Source organism: Homo sapiens, chromosome 6 (genome assembly GCF_000001405.40).
Source record: "Homo sapiens chromosome 6, GRCh38.p14 Primary Assembly".
In the NCBI taxonomy this organism is placed as follows: domain Eukaryota; kingdom Metazoa; phylum Chordata; class Mammalia; order Primates; family Hominidae; genus Homo; species Homo sapiens.
In genome coordinates this window covers 45,359,625-45,378,491 of record NC_000006.12, presented here as the reverse complement: position 1 = coordinate 45,378,491, position 18,867 = coordinate 45,359,625, and the positions used below count along the sequence as shown (strand labels likewise).

The 18,867-nt window shown below is 37.6% G+C and overlaps 2 protein-coding genes across 27 annotated transcripts in view, besides 3 other annotated features; one reads left to right on the top strand and one right to left on the bottom strand.

Annotated features, from left to right (window-relative positions):
- RUNX2 (RUNX family transcription factor 2) overlaps window positions 1-18,867 on the bottom strand; it is a 222,753-nt gene that overhangs the window by 172,591 nt on the left and 31,295 nt on the right. For 2 of the 4 annotated variants that reach the window (NR_103532.2, NR_103533.2), the window contains exon 3: window positions 6,444-6,603. The exons of the other annotated variants lie outside the window; for them this stretch is intronic. The gene's annotated coding sequence lies outside the window, so the exon portion shown is untranslated. Of the gene's footprint in view, window positions 1-6,443; window positions 6,604-18,867 lie in introns of those variants that run through there. 4 annotated transcript variants of the gene reach the window in all.
- Window positions 83-626: an enhancer, noted in NCBI's record as "H3K27ac hESC enhancer chr6:45345603-45346146 (GRCh37/hg19 assembly coordinates)". NCBI's record gives its function as "activates a minimal SCP1, AML or CMV promoter by ChIP-STARR-seq in naive H9 embryonic stem cells {active_cell/tissue: H9 hESC(naive)}" and the evidence as "EXISTENCE:reporter gene assay evidence [ECO:0000049][PMID:30033119]".
- Window positions 267-316: a silencer, noted in NCBI's record as "silent region_17266". NCBI's record gives its function as "represses an Ori minimal core promoter by ATAC-STARR-seq in GM12878 lymphoblastoid cells {active_cell/tissue: GM12878}" and the evidence as "EXISTENCE:reporter gene assay evidence [ECO:0000049][PMID:35858748]".
- SUPT3H (SPT3 homolog, SAGA and STAGA complex component) overlaps window positions 558-18,867 on the top strand; it is a 568,878-nt gene continuing 550,568 nt past the window's right edge. For 9 of the 23 annotated variants that reach the window (NR_146632.2, XR_001743692.2, XR_007059346.1 and 6 more), the window contains exons 1-2: window positions 558-724; window positions 13,191-13,291. Coding sequence is in view for 10 of the 23 variants with exons in the window: in NM_001350325.2 (NP_001337254.1) it covers window positions 13,191-13,291 (101 nt within the window). In the remaining 13 variants the exon portion in view is untranslated. The other 14 variants (NR_146634.2, NR_146633.1, NR_146635.2 and 11 more) reach the window with 7 other exon arrangements.
- Window positions 637-916: a silencer, noted in NCBI's record as "silent region_17265". NCBI's record gives its function as "represses an Ori minimal core promoter by ATAC-STARR-seq in GM12878 lymphoblastoid cells {active_cell/tissue: GM12878}" and the evidence as "EXISTENCE:reporter gene assay evidence [ECO:0000049][PMID:35858748]".

The window sequence follows — 18,867 nt, the reverse complement described above, 5'->3', positions numbered from 1 at the left end:
TCCCAGAAAGGGTTCCACATCCACACGCCTGTACTGCGGCCCTGCGGGGAGCGTTCAGACCCCTCCGTTTCCCTTCACCATTGTAAACGCGCAATCCCATTAAGATCCCGTTCACTCCAATTCCTGGAAAGAAGCTTAGAACGGTGAATCTCTTCCTCGGAGTTGAAAATCAACTTCCAGTGCCGGTCACCCAATCCTTCAAAAATCCTAGCCCTCTCGGGCCCAATTCCTAAAGAATTCAAGCCTGCACCCTGTACACCCTGACCGATCTCAGCTCGTCCCCACTCCGCTCCCAGCGTCCCCAGCTCTAAACGCCGCCGCGTGGCTCAGCGCTGCCCAAGCCGGGCCCTGAAGGCCGCGCACAACGCCCCGCCCCCGGCGAGCGTGGCGGAAGTAGCTCGCTCGGGCTGGGAGAGCGCGCGCCACCTGGCCAAGCGCGCATGCGCCCGCACTGCCAGTGCGGGGGGCGTCCGTATCGCTTACTCCTCAGTCTCCGCAACCCCCGCCCCACCGAGAGTCGGGCTCACGCCATCTTGTACCCCCCCCATCGCCCCGTCACACAGCCGAGTCACCTTTTCCCTTTCTACACTCCACACTCTCAGTCCCCCACCCCGCCCCTTTCCAAGCGTGTCCCGGGCCGCAGCAGCAGAAACCGCACCATCTCCACCCCCACATTCTCCTCGCGGGAAGCGCAGCAGTGCCTCCAAGGGTTCTTAAAGCAGAGGTTGTAGGGCTTGCGGGGGGCGGTGCGGGGATTCGGGCGGGGGAGACGTCAGAGAGCCGGGAGGGACGCAGAGCGGAGATCCCAGCGTCGCTGGGCCCCCGCGCCGGCCACGCCCTGGCCCCGGCTCGAGGGCGGCTGCCTGGGTCTTCGTGGTCTACGCCGGAGTGTTGAAGGGAGGGCGGCTGTGGGAGGCGCTGGCCGGGCGCAGCGCCCTGGTTCCGCTGCCGAGCGTGGAGTTGCCTCTCGACTCCTCCCTTTTGGCGGGTGGGCGTGGGGTGAGGGGGGCTGGGCTGTGCTGAGAAGCGGGGTGCGCGGGTCGTCTAGGTAGTGTGGGGGCTGCCGGAGGAATCATTAAAGAGGGAAATTGTTGCTTTATGGCACGGCGAGAGAAGAGTTAGGTAGTTAGTGGGAGTGTAGCATCCAGAAAGAGGAAAAGATCCGCTGTGTTCTCTGTGGGGTGAGCTCACGTCTGTGACCCCTGGGGAAATTATTTAGCTTGTCTTTGCCTTGTTTTGGTCTGTAAAATGGCGATCTTATAGCCTATTTCAGAATTGTGAGGATTATATGAGAAAATACACGTTAAACGCTTAGAACAGCGCCAGGTGCTGCTCAGTACATATTAGCTCTGCTTTTGCTCTCCACGTTTTAGGAGTTCAGAATGACTGTGACCTTATTTTCTCAGAGAATCAGGACACTTGGTCTCACACGTGAGAGTGAAGTTATGAAGACAGTGATATGTAATATTTGACACTCAGACGATCCTGGACGTAGTATTACTGTACACGTGGATAAATTAGCATTTCTCCAAGAGGCTAATAGAAATGTTAAGTTATTTCGGTAGAAAGAAATGTGTGTGTATATATATGTATATACATATGTGTGTATATAAGTATATGTATGTGTATATATGTATGTATGTATTTGGAAGGAGAGGACCTGGGGTCTTAGTATATGTGAAGGGCAGACTCTGGAAGAGGAATTAAATTCGCCCTGCAAAGATTTACTTGAAGGACAAAACTTGGGGAATTTCTGGTGAATGTTTCAAAGAGGCTGAATTTGCCTATGAGAAACAGTTCGTGAGAGTACTTTGCAAGAATGGAATGCTCTTCATTGTGCTATGGAAAGTTTCTTATCTCAGGATATTCGGGACGTTGGAGCGAAGTATGCCTAAGTCTAGGGCTGCACTTTTCACTAGCAGTTTCTGCCTTGATGGAGATGTTCCATAATCTGTGCCTTTAGGCACTAGTGGTAGCCTAGGCACAGTGGCTCTTCAGCACTTGAAATGTGATAAGTGTCACTGAGGAACTTAATTTTTAATTTTATTCATAAATTAATAAATTGATTTACGTTTAAATACCCACATGTGGCTAGTGGTAGCTACTGCATTGGACAGCACAGGGCTACAATTTAGATTTTGAGAGTCCTTCCGAGTCTTGATATGGTTGAGTTTTAAATCAGATAAGCCAGCTCTTTGGAACATTTATTGCCATAGGGAATTGTAATTATATTCAAATAATGCCTTTCATTCAAATACTGCAGTTCAGACCATGGGTCTGTTAGTACTTATTTACATCTTGACAAATTAAAGCAAAACGTTGTCTCCTAGGTTGTACAGCTAATGCCAGATTCAGAGAGCTATGACAGTATTAACTGGAGTTTTCTTTAAACATTATTGTACTATTTTGTGATTGTCGGTTTCTGCTATCTTTTACCACTTTGGTTGGTTTTTCAGTGAGAAGTTTCCAGCTCTTATTCAAGTTTTTTTCTTTTTTAACCTTTTGTGTAATAAAGCGATTTGAAAAATTGTAACTCTTGAGCATTAGGACATTTTAGAACTAGTTTTATGGTTATCCAAATCTTTTGGAGAGATAAGTGAAATTAGGTAATAGATGTTTCACAAAATTACTTTACTTGAAATATGTGCATCTGTTTTTTTTTTTTAAAGCAAGTGTATATAAAGTCAAATTTGAAAATAAAACTAAAAGAACAAATAAAAAACCTTTATAGGTAGCGGTAGCACCCTTAACCTTGGCCTGATGTCTGTAAAATGGTGCCCTTGGGCCAGGCACGTTGGCTCATGCTTGTAATCCCAGCACTTTGGGAGGCTGAGGCCAGAGGATCTCTTGAACCTAGGAGTTCAAGGCTGCAGTGAATCATGGTCAGGCCAGGCTTCCAGCCTGGGCTGCAGAGGGAGACCTTGTCTCTTTAAAAAAAAAAATGATGCTCTTGGTCTTAAGGCTGAAGATAATTGTTAGATCTGGAGCAATAACTTAAAGCTCACGAGTTAAATCAGATGGAGAGAATAGCTCATAATATACAAATCAGAATGGGGTGCTTTTATGGGTGACTATAGTATCTTAATTTTTCTGAGACAGTCGTAGTATAAAGCCTGATTGTTCCAGCACAATTATTTTATTTAATAGAACCCCTTTCACTATCAAAATGTTCGAATTGGGACCACATCATAATGTCACCCTACTGTTAGCCTTGTTGGGACTTGTAATATATAGTTTTAGGATGATTAACCACATTGCAATATCAGAAATACTTTATTATTTTTGAGATGGAGTTTCACTCTTGTTGCCCAGATTGGAGTACAATGGTGCGATCTCAGCTCACTGCAACCTCCCCCTCCTGGGTTCAAGCGATTCTCCTGCCTCAGCCTCCCGAGTAGCTGGGATTACAGGCACATGCCAGCATGCCTGGCTAATTTTTGTATTTTTTGTAGAGACAGAGTTTCACTATGTTGGCCAGGCTGGTTTTGAACTCTTGATCTCAAGTGCTCCACCCGCCTCAGCCTCCCAAAGTTCTGGGATTACAGGTGTGAGCCACCGTGCCCGGCCAGAAATATACTTTAAAACAGTGACAAAATTACTGTTTTTGTGTCTAAATAATAAATAAGATACCTGGAATAAGGCCAGCAAGTGACTTTCCCATTTAAGCCACTGATAATTTTAAAATTTTGCTTTGAATATAAACCTTTAGCAGCTTGAGTTTTGGTTCCCTCTGGAAGAAAATCATCTTTTGGTGGGGGTGACTGCATGGTAGTCTATGTCAGTCAAATCAGGTGATTGAGTATTTGTGTTGAAATAACACTGATTTTATTTTATGGTGAGGTTGAATAGTGAAATCCGTCAGAAATCTGATTATGTATTAGAATGTTAAAGAAGGGTTTTGCTTACAGTTTACTTAATGAAAAATAATTCAGCCATATGCATTATTATATTAAGTTTATACTGAAGTGGGTAAAATATTTTATTGAGGCTCTAACACTTGATTTGAGTTCTCGCTCTGCTGCTTCCTAACCATGTGATTTGGGACAAATTATTTAATCTTCCTAAGAATACTGGGTTCCTCATTTATAAAATGAAGATGGTAATGGCATCTGCTTCTAGGTTCATAAGAGGTTAATTTAAATAACTCATGTGATGGGTTGTGTGCAGTTCAGTAACTGTTAGCTGCTGTAGCCTTAAGTTTATTGGATAATCTAGAAGTGATAATAATGTTCTGAGATGTTATGTGGGTTGGTGAACAGAGCACTAAGACCCAATTCTGTAAACCTAGCTTTTGCCCTTTTCTGGCACATTCTTTTGTCATTTCAGTTAAGGTATTTAACTTATTAATATCAGAGCCTCAATTTCCTTATCAGTAAAATGGAATTAGTACCCATCCTCATCCCGCTTTCTCATAGGACTGTTGGTGGCATCAAATGAGAATTACATTTAAAAATTATCGTCTTACTTTACAAACATTTTTATATTGAATTGGTTTTGTCTCATCTTGTCTACCTTCAGCCTCCACTAAAGAGTGACCTGCAAAAATTGTTGTGTAAATTTTGTGTAACAGCATGGATAGTGTATAATAGGCACTATTACTGAAGACAGTTCTCTTTTACAAATAATATTGTAAGTCACAGGCTGGGTGTGGTGGCTCACACCTGTAATCCCAGCACTTTGGGAGGCTGAGATGGGTGGATCACTTGATGTCAGGAGTTGGAGACCAGACTGGCCAACATGGCGAAACCCCGTCTCTACTAAAATTACAAAAAAATTAGCCGGGCATGGTGGTGCATGCCTGTAGTCCCAGGTACTCAGGAGGCTGAGGCAGGAGAATCGCTTGAACCCGGGAGGCGGAGGTTGCAGTGAGCCGAGATCGTGCACTGCACTCCAGCCTGGGCGACAGAGCAATACTCTGTCTCAAAAACCACACACACACACACACAAATAATATTTTAAGTCACAGTAATGGTGCTTTTTTGATCTGGTCACAATATATTTTCTACGGAAAACAACCCCATACTACTGCTAAGGGAGAACCAACATTTTCTTGGGCACTTGATGTGTTCCTTCCGTTGTATCTCATTTATCCAAACATATTCCCACCTAATAGGTTATACTAATGAGGCTCTTACTTTCTAGAATTGGTCTGTGAGGCTTTTTTGTACTGTAGTTCTCCCTCTGAAAATACCTGGCCCATAGTTAATGGGTAGTGAAGGTTAAATAAGATAATGAACATGAAAATCGTGGCCGGCTCTGTGACTTCATGCCTGTAATACCAGCACTTTGGGAGGCCAAGACAGGCCCGGGTTGCTTGAGCCTAAGAGTGATGGGCAATATAGTGAGACCTGGTCTCTAGAAAAAATTTAAAACAAAAATTAGCTGGGCCGGGTGCGGTGACTCACAACTGTAATCCCAGCACTTTGGGAGGCCGAGGCAGGTGGATCGCCTGAGGTCAGGAGTTTGAGACCAGCCTGGCCAACATGGTGAAACTCTGTCTACTAAAAATACAAAAATTAGCCGCGTGTCTTGGCGTGCACCTGCTACTTGGGAGGCTGAGACATCAGAATCGCTTGAACCCTGGAGGCGGAGGTTGCAGTGAGCCAAGATTGTGCCATTACACTACAGCCTGGGTGACAGAGCAAAACTCCATCTCAAAAAAAAATGTAGCTGAGCTTGGTGGTTTGTGCCTGTAGTACCAACTGCTTGGGAGGCTGAGGTGGGAGGATTGCTTGAGCCCAGGAGGTGGAGATTGCACTGAGCTGAGATTGTGCCACTGTACTCCATCCTGAGCAACAGAGAGAGACCCTGTCTCAAAAAGAAAATAGTACTCTGTTTGGTGTATGGTATGTAGGAGTTACTGAAAAGATGCTGTTGAATTCACAGGACAGTAAATTGAAACAATTTATGTGAATATACTTTATAAACTAAAATAACATACAAATATAAATCATTAAAAAATCTTGAAATGTACTTTTGCTGATTTAAATGCTATAGTGGTTTTATGACTGAATTCTGTATATTTCACTTTATTCATATTAGTCTTTAAAGGTCTACTCTTAGTCATAACATTCTTTGAGAATATACATGTTTAACAGTAATCTTTTGTGATATATTTTCAAGAAGCTATGCTTTTGCATGAGTTAATCATCATCATCAGCATGAACTAAATGCCTTATATGTACAAGGCGGTTTACTAAGGGCTTTACGTATGTTATTTTATGTAACCTATAAGAGAAGTAATTTTAATCTCCATTTTAGAGATGAGGGAACTGAGGCAGTGAGGTGGCATAACTTGCCCAAGGTCATGTGTAAGTGTTAGAGCCTATAATTTAACTCCAGAGCCTAGCTCTTTACTGCTTCCATTGTGGTTTGGCATAGTCAGATATTAATATTTCACAACACAGTTCACTGTGACATACACATTGTGGAGGCCTTTTGGGTTAGTTATGATAAACTTTTATTTGTATATTCTTTGATGTATAGTAGAAAGAACTCTGGACCAGGTGTCGGGGGACCTCAGTTTTAGTCCCAGCTTGTATCACTAAATAGTAGTGTGTCCTTGGGCAGTTCAAGAAACCCCTCTGGACTTCAGTTCCTCACCTGAAAAATGAGGGATTTGGAGGAAATTAGTGATTTTCAAACTGTAGTTCTGAAGTCTGCTCAGATGTCTTTGGTTCCCTCCCACCAATTTGCATATATGTTTGTCTGTTATAGTTGCTTATCCATCTACCTAAGATTTTCTTTTAAACAAAGAATTTCTTAACTGAGTGTTTAAAGTCATCAGTCTCCAAGATAACTTAATGACCATGTAAGTCCCCTGACTGCTATGTTTACAACTTTTCAGTTAATTTCACAATATTTTAGTGTTTTAGGAGATAGAGATCTTTTACTAATGAAAAAACTAAAGCACTAAAATGAGAGGATTGTTATTAAAACATAGTATATCTAAATGGCCTGAATATTTCAGGTTATCTGCTATCTGGGATCAAAGCCTGTTGTTTATTGGATTTGTGACCTTCAGCCAGTCTTAGTTTCCTCATTGGTAGAGGGAGAATACTTGTCTTGTAGGGTAATTGTGAAAAAAAAAAAAAAAAGTGAGCTAATACTGGTGAAGTACCCTTTATAAACTCCAAATTCCTCTATTTTTTACATGCCTACAGTAAATCCCCCAGTCCTTTTTCTTTTTGGTCACATAAACTGTTTTTAAACACATCAGATATTTTGTAAATTGTTTATGTTTAATGCAGAATTCTCATAAGCTTTAATATTTCTGAAATGTGACTCTAGACTGGAAGAGAGTTTTGATTTTTAAGGGAGCTGCTTATTTTTTTGACATGTTTGTCAAATACACTTACCTCTTACTGTTAGGAGTATAATTGCTGCCAAAATCTTCCACATATCTCAAAAGTTAACCATTAAGTAACTCTTTAATTAAGTTTGTGTAAGAACAACAGTGTTTTAATGTTGGAAAAGTAAGTGTGCTATGTGCCATTTGTCAGGGCTTAAGGATAATCTGATAGGCACATTTGCAGTGCACCTTAGGGACTGTTTTTGCAAAGAAATTTTTTTTTTAAACTCAATTTTTCTGTGAGAGTACTGGATATGAAAGCATATGGAATAGAAACTTAATGTGAGACTAAAGAAGGAGGATATGCTAGAAACTCCTGTGTCTCGGAGCAGTCTATCACTGGGCTCCTATGTCTGTTCAAAAAGATGCTCAGGTAGGATATGTAATGCTGCACAGTTTTAGCTGTTTATCATCCAGAGAGAAAGGATGGGGGTAGTTTTCATGTTTACAGGGTGTTTTGATATTTTCAATTCAGATTTTTTTTAGTGCCCATTATATGGATTCCTGTGAGATAAATTATTCCTGACAGAGAAACTGAACTTATGAGATTAGTTGATCCTTATATCCTTATACAAAGTTCTATTATATTGATTAATTATCCTTAACAAAAATCTTGTGACCATGGCTTTTATTTCAGTTTTCTGCTTTACAACATCTCTCACAAAGCTTCTGCAGCTTTTTAAAATCTCCACTTGAATGTCTAATAGTTGTCTCAAACTTAACATAGGCCCAACTGAACTGTTTTTTTTTTCCTTCCCAGTCTTCTGGATCTCAGTAAATGGCACCACCATTCAACCAGTTTCTAAGGCTCCAGAATTCGGTCATCCTTGACTGCGCTTCTCTCACACCCCACGTGTAATCCATCAGCAAATCAGTTCTGCTTTCAAAATGTATTCCAGAAATCTGACCACTTCTCATCATCTCCGCTTGTTAAACTAATTCAACCCACTGTCATCTCTTGTCTGCACAACCTCAATAACTTCCTAACTGGTCTTCTTGATTGCACTCTTGCTTCCATATAGTATATTCTCCCAGCTGCTGGAGTTATCTTTTTAAACCTAAAACATTTCAAGTAACTTCCCTTTTCAAAATTCTCTAATAGCTTCACATTACACTCAAGTGAAATGTAAACTCCTGTGGCCTAAAGGCTTTATAAGATCTGCCCTCTTGCTACCCCTGTGTTCATATCTTTCTAGCCACACTGGCCACAGGATTTTGGTACTTTGCTGTTCTTTCTGTTGGGAAGTTCTCCAGAGCTCCCTCCCAGATCTTATATTAAATGCCACCTCCCAGTTGAAATCAACTTGTTTTTTTGATTTCATAGTATTTGTTATTTCCTCAAATTATATTTGTTTATGTGCTTGTCTCTTGCATTATAATGTATTTCTTTTTGTCTGACTTAGTCACTACTATATCCCTACCTCTTAGAACGGTGTTTGGCCTGTAGTAGGTGCCCCGTAAATACTTAGATATGAAGAATCCAAAGCACTGGTGGTGTTGGCTTTAAATAAGAGTGTGTCTTTATTATAAGAGGAGGGAATTAAGGGAGGATACGATACACTGTCTTTGGTGGAGGAGAGTGGAGGGAATGACTAAATGATAGCTTTTTATTTCTCTGGAAGTAGAAGATGATGTCAACTGTCCATAGCTAGGGGAGGGATTCACTGTGGGACAGAGGCTCATTCAACAAAAATAATTAGTATGCACTAAAGTAATTTAATATTAAACTAATATAAACTAAAATAATTAGATGTCAGAGAAAGAATTTCTTTTGTTTACATATCTGGGAAGGTTTCTTGGAGATGGGCTTAGGTCAGTAGAGTTTGGGTAGGTTGAGAGATACTGTATTGTTTCAAAAGGTATTGCAAGTAGAGAGAACTGTAGGGGTAAAGGTTCAAAAGAACATGGAATGGTTCTGGAGATAGTGAAAGTTTGATTTGACTGTGGTAGAAAAGGAGGCTGGGGAGGTCAGGTGTGACTGATTTGAGATAAGTTTATAAACCAGGCTTTTTAATACCTTCCAAAGTCCACTTAAAATGGGGCATATATTAATATATTGAGATTACCTTTGTGTTATTCTAAACACTAGGTCTAGAAGTTTTTATAGATATTTTATGTATTTAATTTTTAATTTTTTTCATTCTCAGTGATTGACCATTTGGTATTATTTTTCACATCAGAAGAAATTTAGATCATGATGTAACCTGATTATTTTTTTAAACAACAAAACGAAAACTCAGTGCATAATAGTGTTGGCTTAACCATAATTGTTTCCTGCCTTTGGAATTTTATGAAAATAAAAATGTTCTAATTATAAAAGTTTTCTATTAATTTATATTATGTGAGATGTTCAGGTTATCATTAGAATTGAGACTCTGTAGATGCTCAAAATCAGTACATAGGTCTGCTGAAATAGTTTTCTTCAGCAATATAGAAGAAAAGATTAAAACTTCTCTCTTTTAGTGGATTGACTGATAGTTTTCACAGTCCAGATTTTGATGATGTTTGGAGGGTGCAGAAACTAGTAATAAGGTTCTCAACAATTTGAGGTCTTTTAAGCTTAAAGATGTTTCATGGTATTTCTTCTGTGGTCATTTAGTCCCCCAAAATATGAGATCTAACTAGAAACCCAGTAGCATGTTCAGTGCATTTTGTTTAACTCACTTTTTGTGATTAACTTCACTACAATTAAAACTTTTTTTTTGATAGCAATATTTTCTGAGGAAAGGCGTGCATCCTTAAATTCCTTCATTTTAAATTGAAAGGTAAATGCCAATTTTTCTTCTCTGGAACACAGTTTTACAGGTGTGTTATAATATTAGCTATTAGCTTAATGATCAGGTTTAAATACTATTAATCAGATATGAACTTATTCCTTGGGTTCACATTTAAACTCTGGCATGTTGAAATAATCTAGGTCCCAATCTGCACATCTGAATTCATTTTGTAAAATATGGCAAACAGATGCATTTTCAATTGAAAGCTGAAACAACTGCAGGACATTAACCCATTGAAAAGATTACAGTAGGTTTTCAGTTCCACAGTAACTGTATTTATTAGTGAAAATTGACTTGAGTGCTTCTGCTTTTAACAGACTTTTCTTTTTTAATGTCTAGAAGAAAGGAAATAGAGCATTGGAATGATAGGACTTTGATGTGTAAAGAAGTTAATGTCAAAAGAAGTTAATTATCTAAATCAAACAATGTGGGTATGGGAAATAATTATTTTAAAGAGTCTAATGACCTATCAGCTCATCATGTCAAGAAAAATGTTATTCACCTGTTTGATATAAAAATTGACTTGACTGTGAAAGGATGATCATGGTTATAATAAACTAGGTTTGGTGACTGGATTTGAAAATGAAAAAGGAGCAGATTGCTCCAGCAGTGTCTCAGGACATTTGACCATAGGATAATCCCATGGAATGGCATGTCTGTCAAATCAGACAAGTCAACTCAAATCATAACTTTCTGGAGGCTGGGGTTACTACTTACTCTTTGAGTTTAACATGTTCTCGAAGATAGCTCTGTCAGCCTTCTATTGAGACAAGGGAACATTTCCTGAGGTCTTTGAGAAATCCAGGCTCCTTTTTTTCGCATTTTGTCCCAATTCTGCAGGACTATTTAGGGAAGTCCTTTGTTTCCTGTTTTCCCCCAGTCTTGGACTTGTGATTTTTTTTTTTAATCCGAGTCTCAAATGGTTATGTTTCTTTTCCTGTGTTATTTGTAGAGAAAAGTACTTATTCCAAAAGTCTTTTTAAACAATGGCACAAATTTAGGCTTAAAAAAAGCGATGGTCTTTCTTAGCATTATGTTCTTCATATGTTTTAGAATTTTGGTTTTCGGGCTCAGTTTAAGTGGAACGTTTTTGTTTTCCTTCGCTTTTTGTGCTCTTGCCTTCTTGGTATAGTGGTTTTGGCCTGGCTGTTAGGGCCCTCAGACTAGACCAGAGGGATATTGGGATATTCCAAACCTAGTCACCTAGCTAGTGTGCTGCTTGCCTTAGATCTGTGTCCTGTCGCCTTCTCAAAAGCTTCAAATAAAGCCTATCTCCATCAGTGATTTGTAGTAGCTTTTTTTCCCCAACCTTCTTTCGTGGGGCCCAGCCCTTCCATCTCAGCCCTTGGTAAGTGACCCTGGTTTAGATTCCCTTTATGAATTTTATCATTACCCACAGGAGTGGTTAGATTAGAAAGATATATTAAGAAGATAAATTTGGCAGCAGTATGGAGAATGAACTGAGATGGAGATAGAAGATGTAGCTAAGAGTTTTTAGAAGGCCATAGCCGTAGGACAAGAGGGGAAGGGTCTGAGAACATACAGAAAGTAGAATTTACTTGACTTCTTACAAATTGTAGGGTGCAGGAGAAGGAGTCAAAGGTAGTGACTGAGACTTTGAGCCCAAGTGACTAGTAGTTGTAGTGATGTCATCAGTGAAAACTCAACTTATAAAGAAGCTACTTAGTATTTGTTTAGTTGCATAGAGGTCTTTTAGTAAAAATGTTTAAGTTTTAAAAACTTGCCTGATTGTGAAAAAAAGGGTAATACATCTAAATTTATATAAAAGTTTTTAGCAGATAAAGGAGGGGAATTCTTTTTTCTTCTTTAACTTTCCCCTTTAACGGAAGAGGGAGTTCTTAAGGTCTGCTTATTACAATAGCTAACATTTATTGTGTATCCACTGTGTGCTATCAGTACTGCTCTAAATTTTTGTATGTATTCATTTAATTCTCACAACAGCCCTAAGAAGGTGAGATTATCGTTGCCATTTACAGATGAGGAAACTGAAGCACAGAGAAGTTAGGTAACTTGCCCAAAGTCTTAGCAAAGGAGCGGAGCTGGGATTCAAATCTAGGCAGTCTGACCCCAGAACCTGCCCTCTTAGTTTACTGAAAGTCCTCTGCACTGCTTTACTTTATCATATGTTCTAAATATCTTACATTCTTCTTTAGAAACTGCAAAAAATATTTTGAGGAAAATTACAGCTTTGCAAAGTTTATGCAAGCATATGAAATAATAACTAATGTTTATTGAGCACTTCCAGTATAATAGTGTAATAGATGAGGGTTTACCTACTTTCATGACATTATTTTAATGTTACTTTGACTAAATCTTGCCAATTTTTTTAATGCATTAAATAAAATGTCATACATTAGGATTGGCACCCACTTTATCATTATGCATCACCTTAATTTTATTGGGAAAAATGTCACATTTAAAATTGAGTAAGTTATTTACCCATAGGATTATAAAATATAATGCTTTTGATCTACCGATTGACATTATTATTTGTATTTTAGGCTTTTGTTCAAATAGGATTTAGATTATGCTGTAGTTTTCTAATTTTGTATCTTTCAGCTGTGGAATTGTTTCTTTAAATGAGATCTTACTTGGAACCTTCATATATCAACTAGAAAAATCAGGGTTGTTCCGTGGCCTGAATGAAACTGGGAGTGTGTTGTGCTTGGGGTCCATCTAGAATGCCCTGAAGCATTGCTGATGAACCGTAGGGCTCCCTGAAGCACATTTTGAAAACCAATGAGCTCTAGTAAAATATGTTAATAAATACTGTTTTTACATTACCTATTGTAAAATAGGTGCTAAAGTATTTATCACTGAAGTGAGTAATTGGCTGACATCTTACTTGACTAGTTTTTTTCCACCTTGCTATTTCATTTTAATAAAGAACATTAAGTATAAGTGAATCAGTTTTGTGCAAAACAAATCAGAAATTTAAATTTTCTCTACTTTTTGAAGTAATTTATATTTGCTTTCTTTTTTTTTTGCATTTACTTATAGCTAGGTACATTTTGTAAGCTTTATTTCTCCTTTTTATTTAGATGAATAATACGGCAGCTAGTCCAATGTCTACTGCAACTTCAAGTAGTGGAAGGAGTACAGGGAAGTCTATAAGCTTTGCAACAGAATTACAGAGTATGATGTAAGTATGTCCCTGCATGCTATTGCTATTACTATTTTAAATTTATTCATGTTGAAAGACAATAGACATAACAACATTTATAAAACTTAACTTGGAAATAATTTGTTATTAATCAAGTAAAAATGAAATACTGTGGTAACATTTTAAATTGCCATATGTAGAGGCAAAATTGGTTAAAAATGCTACAGTGGTACTGTATTTGAAAAATGAGTATTAGTTCATCTTTATAAATGATAGAATGAATAATCAGGTGGACACAATTGCTCTAATTATTTGCCTGAGTCTGTGTTATGTATTGTTTATTTCTATTCTAGTTTATAGATTTAGGAAATTTTGAGACTGATTATATTCTTGGACAGTTGAAATGTTTTCACATGGAAGTTCTTAGTTTTTCTCAACTCTTGTAATAATTCAGTAAGCCTAATTTAAATTAGTTTTTAGTTCTGATAATATTTGAAATCACTGTGTTTCAGAGCATTGGGGAAAAACTTAGAGCATTTGAAAAACATGTATTCAATCTTTGGGAAATTGCAGAGTCATTAAGATTTCTTAAGGCTCTGTTCATCTTGATTTCTGGTTTCTTGCATTAAGTGAAACTATATCTCTTGATTTGATAAGAGGTAGCATATTTATTAGAAATGTCTGTTGACACATAGTAGTTTTTCATTATATTGGTTCAGGAGACAATTTTGTCTGTATAAGGTGGGGGGCAAGATATTATAGTGCTCTTCTTTTCCTGTGGATACATTATTCATGACTTAACAGGTAGTTGAAAAGAATATATCTGTTGAAGGTTTAAGTGTCTTCCTCTTGTGGCTAAATTGATAGCCTTCATAGTTGAATTAACGTCACTATGTGATGATTACTGTTAAAAGGTAAAATGAGTTTGAGCAGATGTCTTATAATTGCATGATCAACTTACTTTATACAATATTGAAAACACTTAGTTCAGGAGCTCTCAAACTTTTTGGCCTTAGGATCCTTTTATACTTTTAATCATTGAAGATCCTGAAGAATATTTGTTTATGAGGGTTATATCTATTAATATTTATTAGTTAGAATTTATTATTAAATTTTTTTTTTTTTGAGACAGAGTCTCACTCTGTTGCCCAGGCTGTAGTGCAGTGGCACAATCTTGGCTCACTGCAACCTTCACTTCCTAGGTTGAAGCGATTTTCCTGCCTCAGCCTCCCAAGTAGCTGAGATTACAGAGGTATGCCACCACACCCGGCTAATTTTTGTATTTTTAGTAGAGACAGGGTTTCGCCATGTTGGCCAGAATTACTTAGAATTTAAAAAGAAAGAAATTTATGCATTAACTTGAAAAGTAGTAAACCTGTTATATGTTAATATAAATAATATATTTCTTATAAAAATATTCTAAAGCCAAAAATTGATTACACCTTTCAGATGAGATGCCAATAAATTTGACATATTTAGCAACTGCGTGAAGTGAGCCTATATTTTAAATTATGGAAAATTATAAGTGTTTATGCTTATATACATTTTTGTGGATTAGTTTAATTTTTTTCATTATAGTTTAGTGGCTTTATATTAAGAATATTTTATGTTGTGTTATGTTAATTATGTTTAAAAATACTAAGCATGTTTTAAAAGGTTTAGAATAAGGTGAAAAAATTCATTTTCTGTAGAGCTGGTTCATTGATTTACTTTGTATTTTTAAAACTTTTAATTTGGGAATTTTCAAACTTACAGTGTAATGAAACCTATATATCCATAATCTGGCTTTAACAATAATTGTGTTTTTCCAGTCTTATTTAACCTTTCTCCCTACTCTCCCTTTTTAAAAAAATATGAAGTATTTTAAAGCAAATCCCAGACATCTTATTTCAAAATTTATAGTATTTATTAAAACAATATACTTGTTAGTAAAGTTAAAAACAGATGTCCTATAGCAGAAGTCAACAAATTATGGCCATGGACTTGCTGCCTGTTTTTGTAAATAATTTTTTACTGTACCATACCCAGGCTTATTCATCTATCTGTTGTCTATTGAAGCCTTCATGCTCTGTGCCAGAGTTGAGTATTTGCGACAGAGACTATATGGCCTGTAAAGCTGATAATATTTACTATATGGTCTTTTACAGAAAAAGTTTGATAATCTCTGATCTGTAAAAGACAGTTGCCTTTAAGAAGAAGACTACAAAAATTAAAAATAAAAATAAAAAACCTATGTACCTACCAAAATTAAAAATAAAATATTAAAAAAACCAAACTGTTCCCACAAAAATTAAAAATTAAATTAAAAGCTGTAGAGTATTATATTCTTTTGTTATTTATACTTAGGAGAGCTTCTATTTAGTGCATTTGATGGACCTTGGGCCATTTTAAAAAAACTGAGAAAAAATAAAGGCTAAATTCAGCACTTTCTTATTAAATACTTTTGCAAACATCTTCCCAACCAATGTACCTAAGCTGAATTCGGAATGCAAAAGTTATTGTTGGCTACAGCTCTGGAAGAAATGTACATTTTCCTTCTATTTCAGACCTCATAGAGAGGCCACTCCTAATAGTTACATTCATCATTTATAGTCTGAAGTTATTTTTTTTGCCCTTAGGAATTTCTTTATAGAACAGGGAAATAGGGCCAAAATTGGGAGAATCCTTTTAAATTTACTGGTATTTCTATTGTTATGAGATTTTTAGGCTTTTGATTGTATAAAATTAGACTCAATATACATTTAATTCTTGCTTATGTATATTTCAAATGAGAAAGTGTGGACTTATTCTGCTATGTTTATTTTGTGTTACAGTAATTTCATTCTGTGACTCCCTACTGCTGCTGTTCATAGTTCTAAGCCTGTTTATATTGCTGCTTTTCAGTCCTCTGCTGCTGTCTTCCCCAATCCATTCACTATTAATGAGTTGTTGTTCTTTTGGCTCCCTGGTGTCTAAATAAGTAACAATATTGTAGTGTCATTTCTGGGGAATGGTTTCACTGAAAGTTGTCTAGTTGTCAAGCACAAATGAAATAGTCATGATCTGCTATTAAATCTAGAACTGGCAACCAATCTGTCCTAGTATTAGAGCCTTGAAGAACTTACCATATTTTGAATTTGGGTGGTGAATATCACCAGTGAGGCATTCTTAACAGAAGTTGTGTTGTTGTTGTTGTTGTTGTTGTTTTTGAGAGGAATCTAGCTTTGTTGCCCAGGCGCTGGAGTGCAGTTGCCTGATCTCTGCTCACTGTAAACTCTGCCTCCCGGCCTCAAGTGATTTTCCTGCTTCAGCCTCCCAAGTAGCTGGGAATACAGGCATGCGCTACCACGCCAGGCTGATTTTTGTATTTTTAGTAGAGATGGGGTTTCACCATGTTGGCCAGGCTGGTCTCAAACTCCTGACCTCAAGTGATCCACCTGCTTTGGCCTCCCAAAGTGCCTGGGATTACAGGCTTGACCCACCGTGCCTGGCCCCTTCTTACAGATTTGAAAGGAAAGGATTAGTAGTCTAACAAGTGTTAGTGGGTTGGGATGATAGCAGTTGTGCCTTACCTAGTGCATATAACTGAGCACATTTGCTATATGCTCTTTATCACAGCTCCTTTGAATAACCTGTACTGGAATGGTCCAGAGGTTTTTCATTTTTAGGTTATTGAACTCAAGCAGCCTGTAAATTTGAAAGTGAAATCTTTTCAGTTGACATTACAGGTATTTTAACAAACTTCTTAAGAATTTTAATTAATTTAAATGCACTTTGAGAGTCTTCACTGAGTTCTCTGAGTTCTTCCTTACTTTACCCATTTATATATTTCTTGCCTTGTCATGTACTTTTTCAGAGTTACAGGCCTGATGATAATGATGCCAGATTTCACAGCTCAGTAGTGCTTAGTAATTATAATGTCACCACGTTTTTAAAAATTGGGAGTTTTGGGGATAAATAGCAATAACATTGAAAAAATCTTGTTTACATGTTACTTTTATATTGTAAGAATTCTTCCAAATGAAAATTTCATCCTTATCTAACATCCACAAATTAAAAAAATTTTAATCAGAATTTTCTTATATATAATAAAATACATTTTAAAAATTGTACAGTTCTGCAATTTTTGCATTTTAAAAAATTACCTTTGTATTTTTGAGATGGGGTCTCTATGTTGCCAGGCTGGTTTCAAACTCTTAGGCACAAGTGACCCTCCTGCCCCCATCTCCTGAGTAGCTTGGACTACAGGCATGTGCCACTGTGCCCAGCTAAAAATCATTCACTGAGTCCTTATTATATGGCAGGAACTGAATGCCTTCAAGAGGCATATAGTCTAGCAGTAGAGAAGGAGACAAATATTTGTAATGCAATAGGATGCGAAAAATTCCATGGTAGTACAAAGGAGGGAATGAGGAACTCTTCTGAGGATAAGCTACCTACGTTTAGGTCTGTAGTTCTGCCCGCTTCCTGGAATGTCTGTTAAGTGTTCTGCGAGCACCTCAAATTTAGAATGTCCAAAACTGAACTAACAATTTTCTCAGTAAGATTTGCTTCTTCTCCTGAGAGTGTTTGGGATAAATAGCAATGACCATTTATTCATTGCTGCAGTGTACTAGAGCTTTGTTTTATATGTGAAATGGTATCATTTGACTATTTTTTAAGTATTATGAAGATATGAGCTGTGAAAGAATGTGTGCCCCCTTCATCTGACTTTAGAGAGCCCTGATATGTATAGTCTCTGAATTTTTAGTAGATGGGTTTTTAAGCTAACACAGGCTTCCTTCAAATATTGTTCCCCTGGTTCATTTAAGTTTTTCAGGAAACTGGGAGAAAGAAAAACCCTGAAGGTAAAAAGTACGAACATACTGTAATTCCAAGGGTGCTTTAATAATATCAGTGATAATAATGAATGCTTGTATAGAACATGCTGTGTACCAGGCACTCTCTTGAGTACTTCCATATGCCATTTCATTTCATCCTCACACAACTCTGTGAGGGTAGATGCTATTATTCCCCTTTTATAGACGAAAGAATAGAGCCACAAAGGTTGAGTAACTCACCAAATATTATCCTATAGTCAGTGGCAAATTCTGGATTAATGCCAGGAAGTCTGACTCCAGATTCCGTGCTGTTGCACTTATGCTAAACTAATTTCAGTTAATAAACTTTTTATTTTGATTTACAAAATTTAGTTTATAAATGACTTTCAACAGTTTATGTGTGACTACTGTGCTATAATGAAATAAAATGTGAAAGCTAAATGTTTTTTCAGTTGATTGCTCGGTTATTAGTAACAAGGACCAGGTGATCCTCCTGCCTCAACAAGTAGCTGGAACTACAGGGGTGAGCCACCACACCTGGCTGATTTTTGTATTGTTTTGTAGAGGCAGGATTTTGTCGTGTTGCCCAGGCTGGTCTTGAACTTCTGGGCTCAAGTGATCCTCCCACCTTGGCCTCCCAAAGGGTTGGGATTAGAAGCATAAGCCTCTGCGCCCAGCCTGTCATTTTTATATTATCATAGCATTTGTTGCAGTTTCCTATATCTAACAACAGATCTTTTTCAGCAAGGGCATATCAGTAACCAAAAGAAAGTATACTTTTTCATAGAAATTATATACTTACTATATACTTATTAG